The 16007-nt window shown below is 38.6% G+C and overlaps 1 long non-coding RNA gene across 1 annotated transcript in view; it reads right to left on the bottom strand.

The window, feature by feature from the left end:
- Positions 1-15677, bottom strand: part of LOC101928273 (uncharacterized) — a 49179-nt gene extending 33502 nt beyond the window's left edge. Inside the window, exons 1-2 of the long non-coding RNA NR_120402.1 lie at positions 15647-15677; positions 13982-14153 (exon numbers count right to left, since the gene is read on the bottom strand). This is a non-coding gene — a long non-coding RNA (uncharacterized LOC101928273). The remainder of the gene's footprint in view (positions 1-13981; positions 14154-15646) is intronic.
- Between the last annotated feature and the right edge of the window lie 330 nt (positions 15678-16007).

Here is a 16007-nt window from a genome sequence, read left to right on the forward strand (position 1 = left end):
TTCTCTCAGTTATAACCTCCATGTCAGCTTGAACATAACAGCAATAAAGGAACATTTTTTAAAACTTAATCTGAAAAGAAACTTGTCCCTTCTGGGCACAAATTATAAAACTCCCCAAAAAATGTTTGTATGTATTTTTGTTTGTTTCTAAATAGTATAATGAGCTGTGGTCTTTCAGGGAAAATGTTGTTCTGATAGAAGTAATTCACAATGTAGAAAATTGCCCTTGTGTACTTTCAGGAAAGAATTGCAAACAAATGAGCTATTTTGTCTTCTCAAGCAAAGGGACTTCCCAAGCATGGGTAGCAGCTGTTCAAGTCCATCTGGTCAAGAATTCACTAAGATCATAATATGAAAGTTGCTCAAATGCAGATTTGCACGACAGCCTGCAAATGCTCCTTTTGAGACGAAATGGTTTCTCAGGCCAATAATCTGCATGTTTAAAAGTCTTTAAATACAAGTTTATGGAATAATTCATAACAGCTTTAAGGAACTATCATGGTACACTGGGAAAGTGTTCCATATTGCAGGATAGATTTCTTCTGTTGGCTGGTGAGCATTTGTTTATAGTCTGCCTTGACTGTATCACAATTTTATAAGTAGTTCTTTTATTTTTTAAAAAGCAACATTTTGGGACAAAATATTGTGAACAAATAAGGAATATGACTATATTTGTGAAACCCCTTGTTAATTTCCAAGTGATATTTTAAACCTTGAATAAGACATGTATGCTCATAAATAAGGAGGGAAAAGAAATAATTAACTCAATGTTCATAAGAGCTTCTCAGAAAATAAGAAAATAAGAAAGAGATAAGTGATAGAATTATAATCTGCATTCTACCCTAATAGTATCTTTGCATCACTTCTTAAGCTTTGTTTAGTATTTTAACATGCCGTTTCTTATTACATGTGAAGAATGCTGTGAGGTAGCATGTCAATGTTTTGCAGATGAATAAACTGATGTTAAAAGAGGTTAAGTGACTGATTTTGTACTTCCATTATCTCGAAAGCGCAACTAAAACTGCACTTAGGATTGCCACTCCTGTCTGGGGCCATGGCTTTGGTCCTATTTTCTGCAAGCCTCTGGATGACCTCTGTCCACCCACTGCCTTTGAGTGCTCTCCTCACCTTGGCCTTCCTCCCTGGTTTTAGTCCAACACCTGTCACCGCTCTTCAGAATCCTCATGAAACTTCAGGAAAATTGACTGGGTAGGGCTTGTTTCAGAATTATCCTCCAGAATTCTAGGGCTGATTTAGAATTCAGAGAAAGAAACAAAAGCGCTTATCAAAGTATCTGTTCTAGAGGTAAGCTCAGAGGCACCATGGCAATCCCCACATTTCCCTAGGATATCTTCAGAAATACCTGATATTGCCATCTCAGGCCCAGATATCATCCATCAGCTGAAGGCCATGGGCAACATTCACATCTTCAGAGTAAAGACTGTTTTAGAAGTCCGTGGGCAATCACCAGTCACACAGGGAGTTCCAGGGACCAGCCAGTTGTTCCTTTCATGAGTTAGGAGGCAGTAAGGACATCACAGTGATCATTTCCACTGAAAACGCAAATGTAATCCACTCTGCTACTCAGCAGTTAATGCTGACTTTTGAAAATTATAAAGCAATTATCACCATGGTCTCCTTCTAGGTTTATCAGTGCAGTCAGCTCAGAAAACTTTCATTCCTTCAGTATATCCAGCTACAGCTAATCAGAAAGGGAACAATGAAAACAGGCTGACATTTGATTCAGAGGTTCTGGAAAGAAAGTGGACCTGGCAACAAAGTGACTGCACTTAGAATCCCCCAACCTAATGTATTCAGGGTCCAGAGTAGACCATCTGGGGCTACAGGGGAGAGAAGCCAGTTTCAGAGGCTATTATAAGCAGCTCTGATTAACATCTTAGGACCACAAGACAAATTATCATTGGTATTTGGAGGCAAAAGGTCTTGGATGCTCTGGGCCTGGGTGAATATCTGGGTCTAACACAATTCTCAGAAAGGCCCTCTGGGTCCATTCCCGATGTGTTAACAAAATGCCTGAAACACAGTGGGGTTTGAACAAATGATAGAATGAATGTTTATGGAAGGACAATTGTCTGACCTCGTCTACTACATCCTTTAAAGAAAGGTTCTCAGAATTTATGGTTAAAGTATTGTATAGGTTGAGCATTCCTAATCCAAAAATCTGAAATTCACATTTTTTGAATACTGACACGATGCTCAAAGGTCCTGCTCAAAAGGAAATGCTCATTAAAGATTTTCAGATTTCAGATTTTTGAATTTGGGATGTCAACCAGTAAGTTTAATGCAAATATTGAAAAATTTTTTAAAAATCCAAAACACATCTTGTCCCGAGAATTTTGGATAAGGAATACTCAACCTGTATTTCAATTGTTTGCTTGTTTGCCCTGTCATCAAAAATGACCCAGGTGCGGTGGCTCATGCCTGTAATCCCAGCACTTTGGGAGGCTGAGGCGGGCAGATCACTTCAGGTCAGGAGTTGGAGACCCGGCCGGCCAACATGGCAAAACTCTGTCTCTACTAAAAATAATTTTAAAAAAATTAGTCTGGCATGGTGGCAGGCTAATTTTGTAATCTCAGCTACTCAGGGGGCTGAGGCAGGAGAATTGCTTGAGCCCAGGAGGCGGAGGTTGCAGTGAGCCAAGATTATGCCACTGCACTCCAGCCTGGGTGAGACAGTGAGACTCTGTCTCAAAAAAAAAAACAAAAAAGAAAAAAAAGAAAGAATGAATGAATGAGTTTCTTCAAGAGAGATATTGTAGCTTTTTCATGTCCATCACTCCCATGTATAATATCGTTCCATAACAACTCAGTCCTTATGAAACTCCATTCAGTAAGGACTCAGTTTTTTCAGAATGAACAGACCAAGTAAGACCAATTAATTACTTATTGTCATGTAGCTCAGATGAGAACGGGCTGGGATTTGAGAAAAGGCTCTGTTACTGAATAGGATCTGGGTGGATGGATTCCATCACAGATGTAAAGCGAGGCTACAGTAGCCTGTCCAACAGGATCAAGGGATAGCAGGTTGTAGTTCAGATAAGTAGATACCCACGGAGGGTTGCAAATGAAGTGTTGGCCTGTCCAAACAGTTGGATGCAGTATGAGACAATTCATCCTTACAAGAAGGATAGCAAATTGAAATTAGGAATATTTGGCATTTCAGAGGAGGGTCCAAGACAGTGGTCCAGGATCCAGGACTGGGATACCCCTTCCTGAGGACGATCACAGGTAACAAAAGAGGATCAAGTTGAGGAATCAGACTTGGGTGCTGAGGAATCAGACTTGGGTGCCCGGAGAGCAGGAGACTAAGTAACACTGAGATCCACTTAGCAGAACCAGGGTATTTTCTCAGCATTAGCTCAGAGACAAAGAAAAAAATGATGAAACCATAGCTTATAGACATGTAGTCATGTAAATCTCCTTAGCATCATTTCAGGATTCATGCTGAAAGTTAAGGCAATGGTGAAGCTGCAGGAGGGCTTTAGGTGGTCATAGCTCAGGAAGGAAGGGTCTTTCAGAGACTAGAAACTAGGCCTGAGCTAAAATATTTGCAATCTTGGATTTGCTTGAGGATGTTCATTCTACTAACAAACAAACGCCAATTTAATTTCCTGATGTTTATTTCAGGAGGTTTACAAGAACTAATTTCCTTGGAAGTGATTTTTTAAAACATCCATTGTAGAAAATTCTTTTTCTCACTTGTGAACACCTCTGAGAAAGAAGTATTATTTATAAAAGTTGGTACCTGTTGAACTATTACAGAGTTGCGGGGAAAAGCCTTCACAGGGTTCACAAGAAAAAGCCTTCTCCAACTATGCCTTACAGACGTATTCTTAAAATAATGACTTGACATATTTATATGTACATCTTTAGCTTAATATCTTACCTAATTGTCCAACAAACTAATTCAATGTTGTTTGCAATACATTAAATGAACAGAAGATAAACTGGGTAATAGAGAATCCAGAGAGCCTAGTGGCCCATGAAATCACTGGATTTGCAAAGTGATTTTCTCTTCAGCACCGTGCACCATCTGAGAACAAAATCTGTCGGCAAAGCACTTTAGTGGCAATCAATGGATCAGAATATAGAGACATTAGGAATGCCACATGGGGTCCAACCAATGGTCCATCCAGGCCAGCACAAAGGCAACATGAGAGGATTTTGGAGAGTGAGGTTGCTCGGTGCGGTATCAGTTTATAATGTTGGGATTATTTAACATACCTTCCCGAAATCATTTTGTGAACTAACATGTAACTGTAATCTATCATTTTATACAAATCCCTTGATTTTTTCCCACAGCTCACCCTCTTTGTGTTAGAGTTCCATAAAGGTAATGCCCAATATGTGAAGAGAAAATTAACATTCCCCTTTTTCTACTTGAAGACTTCCAAACATTTCCTGAAACTTAAACACTTACTGATTCTTTAAACTATCCCCATTCCACTTTTCTCTGCAGCAAGTAGCTCTCAATGTGTGGTCCTCAGATGGGCAGCATCCACTGGAAAAGTGCTAGAAATGCACATTCTCAGGCCTCACCCGAGATCTGCTGAAACAGAGGCTCTGGGGTGGGACCCAACAACCTGCATTTTAACAAACCCTCCAGATGACTCTGAAGCATGCTCAAGACTGAGAACTACTGCATTATGCTAAATTTACCCACCCACCCTCTGGCAAAAATAACGTCTAATTGCATTTAACTTTTTAGTTTGATGAGTACTTATCTTGGTGTCTTTTAATTCACCTGATGTTTCTGTTGCTAACAAAACCAACAAAAACAATGTAAATTTGGTATACTGAAATACAAAATAAGAGTGAAGGAGAAAACATTGGTAGTGAAATCAACTACTATAAAGCAGTTTGGGGCAATTCAGTTTAGAGACAGGCATTATACCTCAAATACCCAATGAGCATCACGTTATAAAAGCATAGCTCCAAAGATGATAATTTCAAATGAGGACCCTTAAGTCACAAAGAGAGGATTAGCTCACATTCATTATTTCCAAATTTCCCTCACCAAAGCACAAATTATTAAGGCATTTTTGAGACATTTTTATCAAAATGAAAATAAATGTGTTTCACAAATAAAGGAGCAAACTGAGATATATGAAATATTTACTTGTTTGAATATCTGAAGATACTAGAAATGTGTCCTTAATTTACTCTGTTTGTCTTACATGAAATGTAAACCAATGCTATCCATTAGCTCTTAAACATGTTCCACCTGGTGCATGTTGCAACTGCTCCAGCCCTGTTGTATAGGACAAGACTCAGTTTTTTCAGAATGAACAGACCAAGTAAGACCAATTACTTATTGTCATTGAAGTTTGTGGTTTTTGATCAAATTTTATAAGAGCACAATATGATGTGTTTAATCATCATGGTGGCCACTCTTTATACATGACTTTTTAAAAACTTAAATGCAAACTTCACAACCTTTGCCTCATACTGAATGAGGCCTCATAACAAGCCCTCCAGATGACTCTGTACCAGTAGAAGTACTGGTACCTCAGTACCAGCAGAAGTCTGATTTCATATTCAATGAGTATTTGTTGAAGGAGAATATTTGTGCCTGTGTTCTGCTGGGCATTTCTGAAGGATATTGACCAGGACAGCATATAAATCCTATCCTAGCTGTGACCTAGATTGGCACAATGGCAGAAGGAATATCTCTGAGAATTTACATCCTGGGAGAGGCAAATTATTCAATCAGTCAACTAAGGAGCAAAACATTGCTAAATTCAACCGGAAAAAAAAGTTGAAATTTTCTCATATTCTCTGTCATCTAATATCCGGTATGTTTTTATCCATTCAGTTACTCTTCTCTGGATTTCAAATAGAATTTCTAATAATAAATGTGCACCAATTCTATCATCAGGCTATTTATGTTCTTTATATTTCTGTTCTTGATAATTACATGCTAGTCTTTGAATATGAAGATAATGCTTCTGACCCAATATTCACAATGCATGTGCCTTGAGTTGTTATGTTTTGCAAGAGAAATAAGTTTATATTGATCTGATGCACTCTCTTTCCCAGTCTTCATGTGACCAATAGCAGCAACTGCAAGACTGTCACCTGAGTGTGGCTTGCAACCAAGCACATGTGGGAATTCAGTGAAGGCCCCGGTCTTGGCCTCATTATCAACAGGAACCAGCTGAAGACAGTGGTCACTCTTTATCCATGTAAATAGACACTATAATTTATTTTCAAAAAATCCAAAGGACAAAATTTAAGACCATTGTAATACCAGAAATTTGTGCTGTGGGTACTTGGATGATGACAGTTGATAAACCTGGGAGGTTTACAATGGCTAGATTGTCAGAAGGGATTAAATGTATGTTCTAATAATAAAAGAACAAGAAAAAAGAATGCCGTGGTGATGTGTAAATTTAAAATACAGTGGTACATGTTATGAAAAACAAAAATCAATCCATGAACTTTGAAATGAAGGGAGATAGTTCTGAGAGAACTAGAGGAACTGGACTTGAGATCCAAGTATACAATTTACTCAATTTATTTTTTATAGATACTTTAAGTATGGAAAATTTAATTTTATTATTATAGACAGTAAGGTATAATACAGAACATAAAGTCCCTTAAATTAAGGTGGTTATAGATCCTGGTTTTCTTGACACTCCTATATCACACTGATGGTTCCTGTGTGAATATTAACATTACCCCCTTCAATTCACAAGTGTCTTGTGGTGTGTGTGCACGCACGTGTGTAGCTTTTGTTTTTATTCTTGTTTGTTTTGCAAAAATGAAATGAGAGCAAACATGTGATCCTGAGACTTTCTTCACTAAATATGTATCTTAGAATCTTTATTTTTCTTATTATTCAAAATAATTCCTTTTTTAACCTACTACTTACTCATCATTAAATAGTTACTTAATCCTCTTTGAAAACCATTTGCATTGTTTTAAATTTTGCCCTACTGCAAATAATTTCACCACATTCTTTTAAGCTATAACTGTGCATGTTTTAGTATTTCTGTAGGTTACGTTTTTGGAAATGGTATCGGCTCAAAAAAATTAACATTAAAATCATAATCAATATTCCCAAATATAGATACATTTTTGAATCTTCAATTTCATCATAAAATTTCAACTTTCCTTAATAATACTTCCAATTTAAACTAAAGAGTTTTGATTGTTTAGGATCACAAAGATTTCTATCAGAGGGAGGACAAAATGTGAAATGTTTTGTTTTGTAATTCATCTGTCGCAGAAAACATCACTGCTGTTTGGCAATTGAGAAATTGTCCAAACAAGTACACTATGGACAACAAATGTCATGAACTGCCTGTCCACACTGAGGTTTGAGAGCCACAGGAGACTTGAGACATCTTCTAAGACAGTTTAAAGAAGTCTCATTTATTTTTTTATACAATGTAGCAAATCAATATATTAAATAATATAAGAACACCAAGTTTTCTTACATATAAAACTAGAATAACCTATCAAACAAAGCTGTTCCACGTAACTAAGAACTCATTAACCCTGAGGTTCTAGGACTTTATGAAGTCAGTGAAATAGCAGGCAGTAGTCTCTCATGTGCAACTAGAGCTGCTGATGGGAAAAAGTACAATATCCCAGATTTTTCAACGATGTGGCTGGATCGTTGGGTGTGAGAAATGCACCAACCCTGACTCAGAGATGCCCTCTCTTGCTCATCTTCCCGTCGTTGTGGCGCTGAACACCTGTGCCCACCCATAGCAACCTGTGACCAAGTGCATGGGTACAAACACCTTCCCTTTCTTCCTGTCTTTTTTCTTTCCCTCATTTCCCTTTATTCATTCCTCTATCCTTCTTCCTCCCCCTCACAACGCCAACTCTTTTCATATCATCAACAAATGGCAAGTACAGGCCCTGAGGAAGACACAGATGACTAAGACAGAGATTCTGCCCTTAAAAAGCCCATGATCTAGTCTGGGAGACTGACATATAATCGGACGATCAGACAGCCTGATGAACACCATGATCATGTGCCTGACACCTTAGAATAAAGAAAATGTGGCAATGCATGTGGCTAAGAGGAATCAGGACAGCTTTGCAGAGCACCTGGCATTTGTGATGTGCCTGGAAGTTCATTGTCTTCAAGTGTAGGAGAACATCGTTGGGGCACATAGGCTGGACCCAGGAACCCTGGACCCTGCAACAAACACAGGCTTCTGAATGGAAGATAGGTGACATTGTCGCTGCCCTCAGTCACTGCCCTGGCTTGCCCAGAAGGCAAGAAATTAAGTTGTTATAGGTGGTGTGTACTTGTACCTAAAGATGTCACTGCTAGCTGAGGGGAAATAAGCCCCTGAAGATTGTTAGGGCAGTGAAAATATTCTTTAAGATACTGTAACGGGAAATATGACATAATACATTTAGCAAAGCCCATAGAACCGTACAACACAGGGACTAAACCCTAATATAAACTATGGATGTTAGTTAATCATAATGCATGAATATTGGTTCATCAATTGTAACAAATGTGCCACACCAACACAAAATGTTAATAATAGGAAAAACCGGAGGTTGGTTGGGGGACAGAGTATACAGGAACCCCGTATATTTTGCTCACATTTTCTGTAAACCTAAAACTGGTCTAAAAATCAAAGTCTATTACATTTTTAAACACTCTGAAACAGTATGTCTACCTCTCTTAGCTCCCTGCCTTTGTGAAAATAAGAGCAGAATTTTGGTTTTCCTTCTTTAGGACAAGAATTATATTTTTTTAAAAAAAACTCCTCCATTACTTTTGATATATCTAATTTGTTTTAATTACTGGATCAAACACTTTAATATTAATGAATGTAGAGCCAATAAGATATCCTGGTAGATTGGAAATGGGAGAAACAGAGGCATACAGGATGATGCTGAAGTTTTTGGCTTGAGCAAGAAGCAGGGATGGTACTAGGGTGAGCCAAGTGAGATGTTGAGGGCATAAAATTTAAGGAAGCCCTTGCATAGCCATACAAAAGCAAGGTCAGCACTTCCTTGATGCTCTCAATGCCTTAAATATTGTGCCCAAGTGGCTGGCTTGCTTCACCCTTGTCCCAGTCTTGACTGGAACAATGGTGTCACCACCCACTGAGTTGGGGCAGGCTGAGCAGAAGCATGTTTGGGGAGGTTGGATTGAATATAGAAGCCTGGTTCTGGACATGTTGACTCTGAGATGGCCGTTGAACATTCAAGTGGAGACATCAGGTGGTCAGCTGGATCTCTGAGTCAATACTTTGGGAAAGAGGCTGAAACTAAAGTTATGTATTTAGAAATTATCACAAGACTAGAGGAACTCATGAGGAAAGTGAGTGCGAATGGATAGATAGATAGATAGATAGATAAGGGAAGAGTTTCAAGGCCTGAGCCATGAAACACTTCTATTTGTCAGAAAGAAAAAGAGGAACCAGCAAGGAACCTTGAAAAAAAAAGCAGGCAATAAGAGAAGGAACACTGGCAGTGTATATTCCTGGGAGACAAGACAATGCTTCAAGGAGCAGAGAGTAATAAATTGTGTTTCATGCTGCTACAGTTGAGTTAGACAAAGTTTGAAACTAGAACTTTGGTGTCAGTAGCATTGAGATAATTGACAATGTTGACTGAAACAGTTTTAGAGGAGAGATGACAACAAAAGCCTGAACAGCGTGCCCTGAAGAGAGAAGAGAGGAGAGAAATTTGATTCTGCAAATACATAAAACTCTTTCAAAGCCTTCTTTTAGAAAGAGGAAGGGAGAGAGAGAGAGAGAGAGAGATGAGAGAGAAGCCAGAGGAGGAAGAGAGGTCCAGAATTTAGTACTTTCCTGGTTTTTCCAACTTGCATCCCAATCCCTTATCTCTGGGTTTAGCAATGAACACTTTGAGATTATAATATTTCTCTCCTCAGAAGGTGAGATGCAGAAGAGGAGATAGGAAATTGAGATAACAACTACTTTATTCTGATGGGTGGGAAAAATTCTATATGAGAGTTTTTCTACCAAGACACATGTGAAAGGAAGTGGCAACATGTGGCAATTCATCTAAGATCAGCAACTTTTTTTCTCTGTTTGAATTTGTTGATTTGGAAATTATTTGTCTGGCTCTGCAACTGAATCATCATTTGCTCTACCAGTTTTTCTAAAGTTTCACATGCTGATGCTAGTTAAGAAAGAATACATTTTAATCTGTCAACTTTTGCTTACCAATGAGGATCTAAAAGTGTGTTCAAAGGTAATTTGAACAGACTCTTTCAAGATAGTGCATCTTTTAGTAGATCCACAGAACAGTAAATATAACTTGATAATCATGCCAAACATTTCTTTGCATTGTAAAATTGAATTGGCAGCTTTGCATAATAAAGGGCTAAAATTATGAACCACGCAAGATTTGCCTGAAACTTGATTGTTCAGGCTCAAAATTCTCTACTGAATACCCTTGTGCTTGCTTTTGTATTTATCCATTTTCATGTAACTGCTTACAGCAGACATTTCTTTTTTTAATCTTTTTTCATAAAAATACATTTTAATAAATATGCCGAACCCACTCTAATAGCATCCATCTATCATATGTATTATATAAATACATATTTTACCATTATAATTGACAAACCAGCATTTATGAACTTTGTTCTTTGTGGATGCATTAGGAGCAGTGTTTCTTCATAGGATATAATATTTTATAATTTCTTATTCTTTACTGCTTGCTGTGCTGTACAAACGGTTATAAAATGAGTTGCTTTTGGGGTGTGAAATGAGTAATCATCAGAGGAGAAAAGCATTAGGGACAAGAAAGTGGAGTGAGGATCATGAAGCATTTGCATGTCTTTCTCAAGGTCATGGATAAATTTCAGCTCCATGGAAAATCTTGAGAAAGAATCCAGCAAGAATGAGATCATGAAATGTTAGCTTTCCCCAAGTAGAAATTCCATAATAGAACTATAAAATTTCTGCTTACAAATTTTATCTTCCAACTTCTACTTGAAATTAGGAAACTGAAAGGGCCAGGAGGGACCCTGGAATTCATCTAGTCTGAACTTATTGTGCATAGGGAAAGCTAAGCTGAGCGACTCTGCAAGTCACACTAATGTGACGTAGAAAATACTAGAACATAAGGTTCTGCATTACTGTTTCAGGTTCATGTTTGTTGCTACAACAAACATTTATCAAACAGCTAGTAGGTATAAGAGATCATTTAAACCCACCCTAAAGGATACAAAGTTGAGGAAAGCACTCTTTGCCTTTGCAGAAATCACAATCTATTATCAAACACATGATAGAAATTTCAATATCTAAAACACAAGATCTAATTTGTTAAGTGCCATGGGAATGATATAAGAATTTAAGAAGGGAGAGATACAACAAAGTTTGGGCAAGCCAGTATGTTTCTTGAAGGAATAACAATTTGTGATGTGAAGGTAAAATCTCAGTAAAGAAAAATGGGGAAGAAGATGTTAAGCCTGGCAGAAGGAATATTATTAGCAAGTGCAGGACAATATGCTCTAACAAAAAAGAGCAAGTAGCCTAATTTGACTGGATTTCAATTTACCTTTACATTTTTCTATCATGTTATTCCATGCCATAAATTATGGCAATAGTCTCAACGAACTTGAATATCAGACCAAATTGCCTTGTCTTATGTTGTAACCCACTCAAGTCTCTAAGCAGGAAATAACCTGACCCCCGTTCTCTGAGATTTAACAACAACAACAAAAAAATTGTGTATCCTTCACTAAAGTTTGTAATGCATTTTGGAAGGAAAGAGTCAAAAAGAATGAATGTGTCCTGACCATGTGTATTACTTGTTTGTTCTGAAAGCCATATCCTGCCCTGTTTCCTGCTCAGTTCTGAATGTTAGTCTCACAATTAGGTTTAGCTAAGTGAAGGCAGGGGAGAGGGCATCCAAAGGGTGGAAGGGAAGGAGAAACCAGACTATTTCTTCTCACTCTCTGTACTTGAGGTCATATCTCTTCTCTGGTTTCGGTTTCTGTTGTGCATTCTTTGCCATGGTTCCAGCCTGGCAGCTTCAGCATTTCCTAAGCAGTTCCTTCTCCATGATTCCAGGTCCTACTGAGGCCCCAACTCAGAGAATCCCATAGTGCCACAGCCTCCCTTTGTTGTCCATTTCTGGTATCATAGAGACTTTCTGCTCTTGCTAACCTCTGGGTGCTTCATATTTCCTTATTAACCTTTTTGACTCTTCCAATATAGGATATTAAAGAATCATATTACTGAAATGTTAAAAAGCATAACTGCCTTTAGATATAATTAAACAAAGGGCCTCAAACAAAGTCACCATGGGCCTGCCTCTTTCTCCCTATTCCTGGACTCTTCTGTGCTCTTTTTGCATTGTCTTTGCTGAAGGGCAAGTTCTTTCTATATAGTTGGAAAGGTGACTGTTGTTTGGCCCAAGTCAACATCCTTATGGCTCATAATCCAAATGAAAAAGAGATTATCTATTTTCCAGAGACCCTGTATTAAATCTCAAAGTTGAATTTGATTGATTGGCTAGAGGGTAGGGCGATGAAGTTTTCTGGTCTTGGTCATTGGAGGAGGGTAACATGTTATTTCAGCCTCATTCAAGTTTTATGGAGTGAGGCCACCCCCACCCACCCCCGCCAACCAGACAGTGATGTGGCAGTGGCGGTGGCAGCATCCCTCACTGAAGCAGCTCTTGCTGGATAGTCTCTCCCATGTGCAAGTTCCCCAATGCTCTGATAAGAGCTCTTACCTCCCCCATCCCTACAGGCCTGATGGTGGGAATGGCCTTCACCACCACTAGTCCCTGGGTGCCTCCCTACTCCTAGTGGGTTCCTTAGCTTTGTCCATACCCTGAATGAACTCTTGATAAAACCCCCTTCAGTTATCCTTTTTAAAGCATGCCAACTGACCCAGCCAGGACCTGGTACTTATGGCTTAAATGAATATTTCCACTTCCTAGCTGACAAAGTCAAAACTTAAACATTTTCAGAAACTTACTAAAGACCACACAATGAGGAGTATGTGGGGTTGGGACTGAAATTTTCGTTTATTTGCCTTCAAAGTCTGGATCCTAAAAGAACAATTTCTCCCCTTTCGACAGGCACAAACCCAAGAAGATCTATGCCATTGTCATGTGCCTAGTCTGTCTATATTCTACTGAGTATGATGGGCCAGGCAGACAGGGATTTTTGCTTTATTAGTAAAATTAGCTCTTAAGTTAAAAAAGAAAATAAAAATAAAATGGAGAATCCCCTCTCTTAACACTCACATCTTCATGGCTGACTCCAGTTTGCTTTTCGATAATATACACATTCCATTTCTTATACTCTGTGAGTAAATGGGCCCTTCATAAGCCCATCCAAAGGGTAACTTATAATTTTCATTCTGTCCCCTCTCCTTGTACTTTTCTTAAAGTGAATTGCTAGTTAATGCCTGAGAGAGTAAAACTCCAGATCCAATTTTTTAACAAAATGTATAGTTTTATGTGGAGGAAAATAGGAGTCTAGAGGATAGTGGGTCTCAATGGACTTTACTCCTCTGAGGAAGGTTAGCAACGGTTATAGGAGTCAGTAGAGGCACCCGCATTAGTCACCAGCTCTGACTGTAAACAGTGGAATAATCAGTTTTAATTCTTTACCACTGAACTTTCTCTGGCACCAGATTCATGTAAGTATAATTCAGAAATGTAAAGTGGATAACAGCTTATTGTCCAAGGCTCCCAGGGACCAAAAAAGAAGGTGCAAAAACAAATGCTTAAAAGTAACTAAGTAACTCTGACCTGTAGCGCTGAAGTTAATTCCCTTTCTACATCATTTCCATAATATCTCCATACCCAAATGGTATCCCAAAATACATTAAGGAATTAACTAAGAAGTTGCATGGAAAATAATAGCAGCGGTAAAGTGCAATTAATGCCATAGGCAGGAAAGGCAAATACACTGATTTAGCTGAGATTTGACACAACTTTGGAATTCAACTTGGCAAAGCAAGAGGGGACATCGGAAAAGCCATACCTTGCTAAGGGAGAAAGCGGCTTTCTATTCTGAAGCGACTATATATGTGCAGTCATAGAAGGCCCAATCCACGGGAGAAATGAGCAGGGAAGTTTATGGGAAGAATCCAATGCAAGAAGGCATTTACTTGCAGCTAAAGCGCTGATCTTGAGGGGTTGAGGAAGACAGAAACCTTTTTTAATGACAAGGAAACAAAAGCAGAAATAATACTTTTTAAATTATTTTTAAAATCTTACTTGTGATGCATACTTAATGTCCCATAGTTGTGTGGGCTTTTCTCCAGAAGTACAGCTTCACAAAGGGTTATTTATTTATTTACTTTATTATACTTTGAATTCTGGGATACATGTGCAGAATGTGCAAGTTTGTTACATAGGTATACATGTGCCATGGTGGTTTGCTGTACCCATCAACCCGTCATCTACATTGGGTATTTCTCCTAATGCTATCCCTCCCCTTGCCCCCAACCCCTGACAGGCCCTGGTGTGTGATGTTTCTCTCCCTGTGTCCGTGTGTTCTCATTGTTCAATTCCCACTTATGAGTGAGAACATGCAGTGTTTGGTTTTCTGTTCCTATGTTAGCTTGCTGAGAATGATGTTTTCCAGCTTCATCCATGGTTATTTTGAGAAAAGTTTAGAGTAAAATGAAGGATAGACAAAGGCCCTCTGTGGTCAGAGTTTGTGCTCTGAAAGGGGGTCCCTTTCTCCATGGTGCTAGGTAGTCATGGTGATGCACAGACAAAACAGAAATGATCTCCTTGTTTTCTTCAACAAAGTTCCAATTACTCCCAGTATCTTCAAAATGGGTGAGAATGAACCTCTGTGAGTGCAACATGCTCCATGGTTTGTGTTTATTTACTTTATTTTTGCTGTAAGGTTGCAGGCTCCTTTGTAGTCTACAAACACCTTGAGAACAGGGATGGTCTTTACTCATCATTGTTCTTATTCCTCAGCTCAAGGCCTGGACACATACCAGGCATTTAATAAAGTGAGTTCTGTTAACCTAATCTTTAAATGTTGATATTGCTTTCTTTTCAGGAGATAAACTTATTTAGGTCACACACATACACACACACCACATGCATTCACACTCCAGAAAACTAAATCTGACACATACACACACACAAAGAACAACTGATGTAAAAAATAATAATGGTAAATTGAAGGCAATAAAACATTCATTTTTATACTAAAATTAAAAAATAAGATACAAAGAAAGCTGAGCATAGAAGATTGACATATACAGAAGCTATAGGAAAACAGACCCACAAAGCATTATTTCATATCTCCATGCAGTGATTTTTTTTTTCTCTAACTTGGGGAATGAGGTAGAATTTCTATTGCCCCCCACTTTCTGTTGGCTGCTGATGGTTACATTTCCTCTTCTGAGAGTCTCACATATTGACCATAGATGTTGTTGTCACTAAATAAACCACATGCATCATTAATTAAATACGAATTAGTAAAAAAGGAAAGAGGTATAGTGGGTTGAATAATTTTTCCCTAAATTTATGTACATCTGTGTCTTGGTTCATTTGAGCTGCTATAACAAAAATACCATAGACTAGGTAATTTATAAACAAGAGAAAATTTATTGCTAATAGTTTCTGGAGGCTGCAAGTTCAAGATGACTTCCTATTCAGCGTTTGGCAGGGGTCTACTCACTGCTTCATTGATGGTGCCTTCTTGCTGTGTCCTCACACGGAAGAAAGGTTGACCAAGGTCTCTGAAGCCTCTTTATAGGGCAGTAATCCAATTCATGGGGAATCTGTCCTCATGGCTTAATCACCCCCACCTCCACCCCGACCCAAAAGAAAAGCTGCATCTCTTAATACTCTCACATTGGGGATCAAGTTTGAACATATGGGCTGGGCGTGGTGGCTCATGCCTGTAATCCCAGCACTTTGGGTGTGCTGAGGTGGGAGGATCACCTGAGGTCAGGAGTTTGAGACCAGCCTGGCCAACATGGTGAAACCCCATCTCTACTAAAAATACAAAAAATAGCTGGGCGTGGTGGCACACGCCT

This window comes from Homo sapiens, chromosome 2 (assembly GCF_000001405.40).
Source record: "Homo sapiens chromosome 2, GRCh38.p14 Primary Assembly".
Classification (NCBI taxonomy): Eukaryota; Metazoa; Chordata; class Mammalia; order Primates; family Hominidae; genus Homo; species Homo sapiens.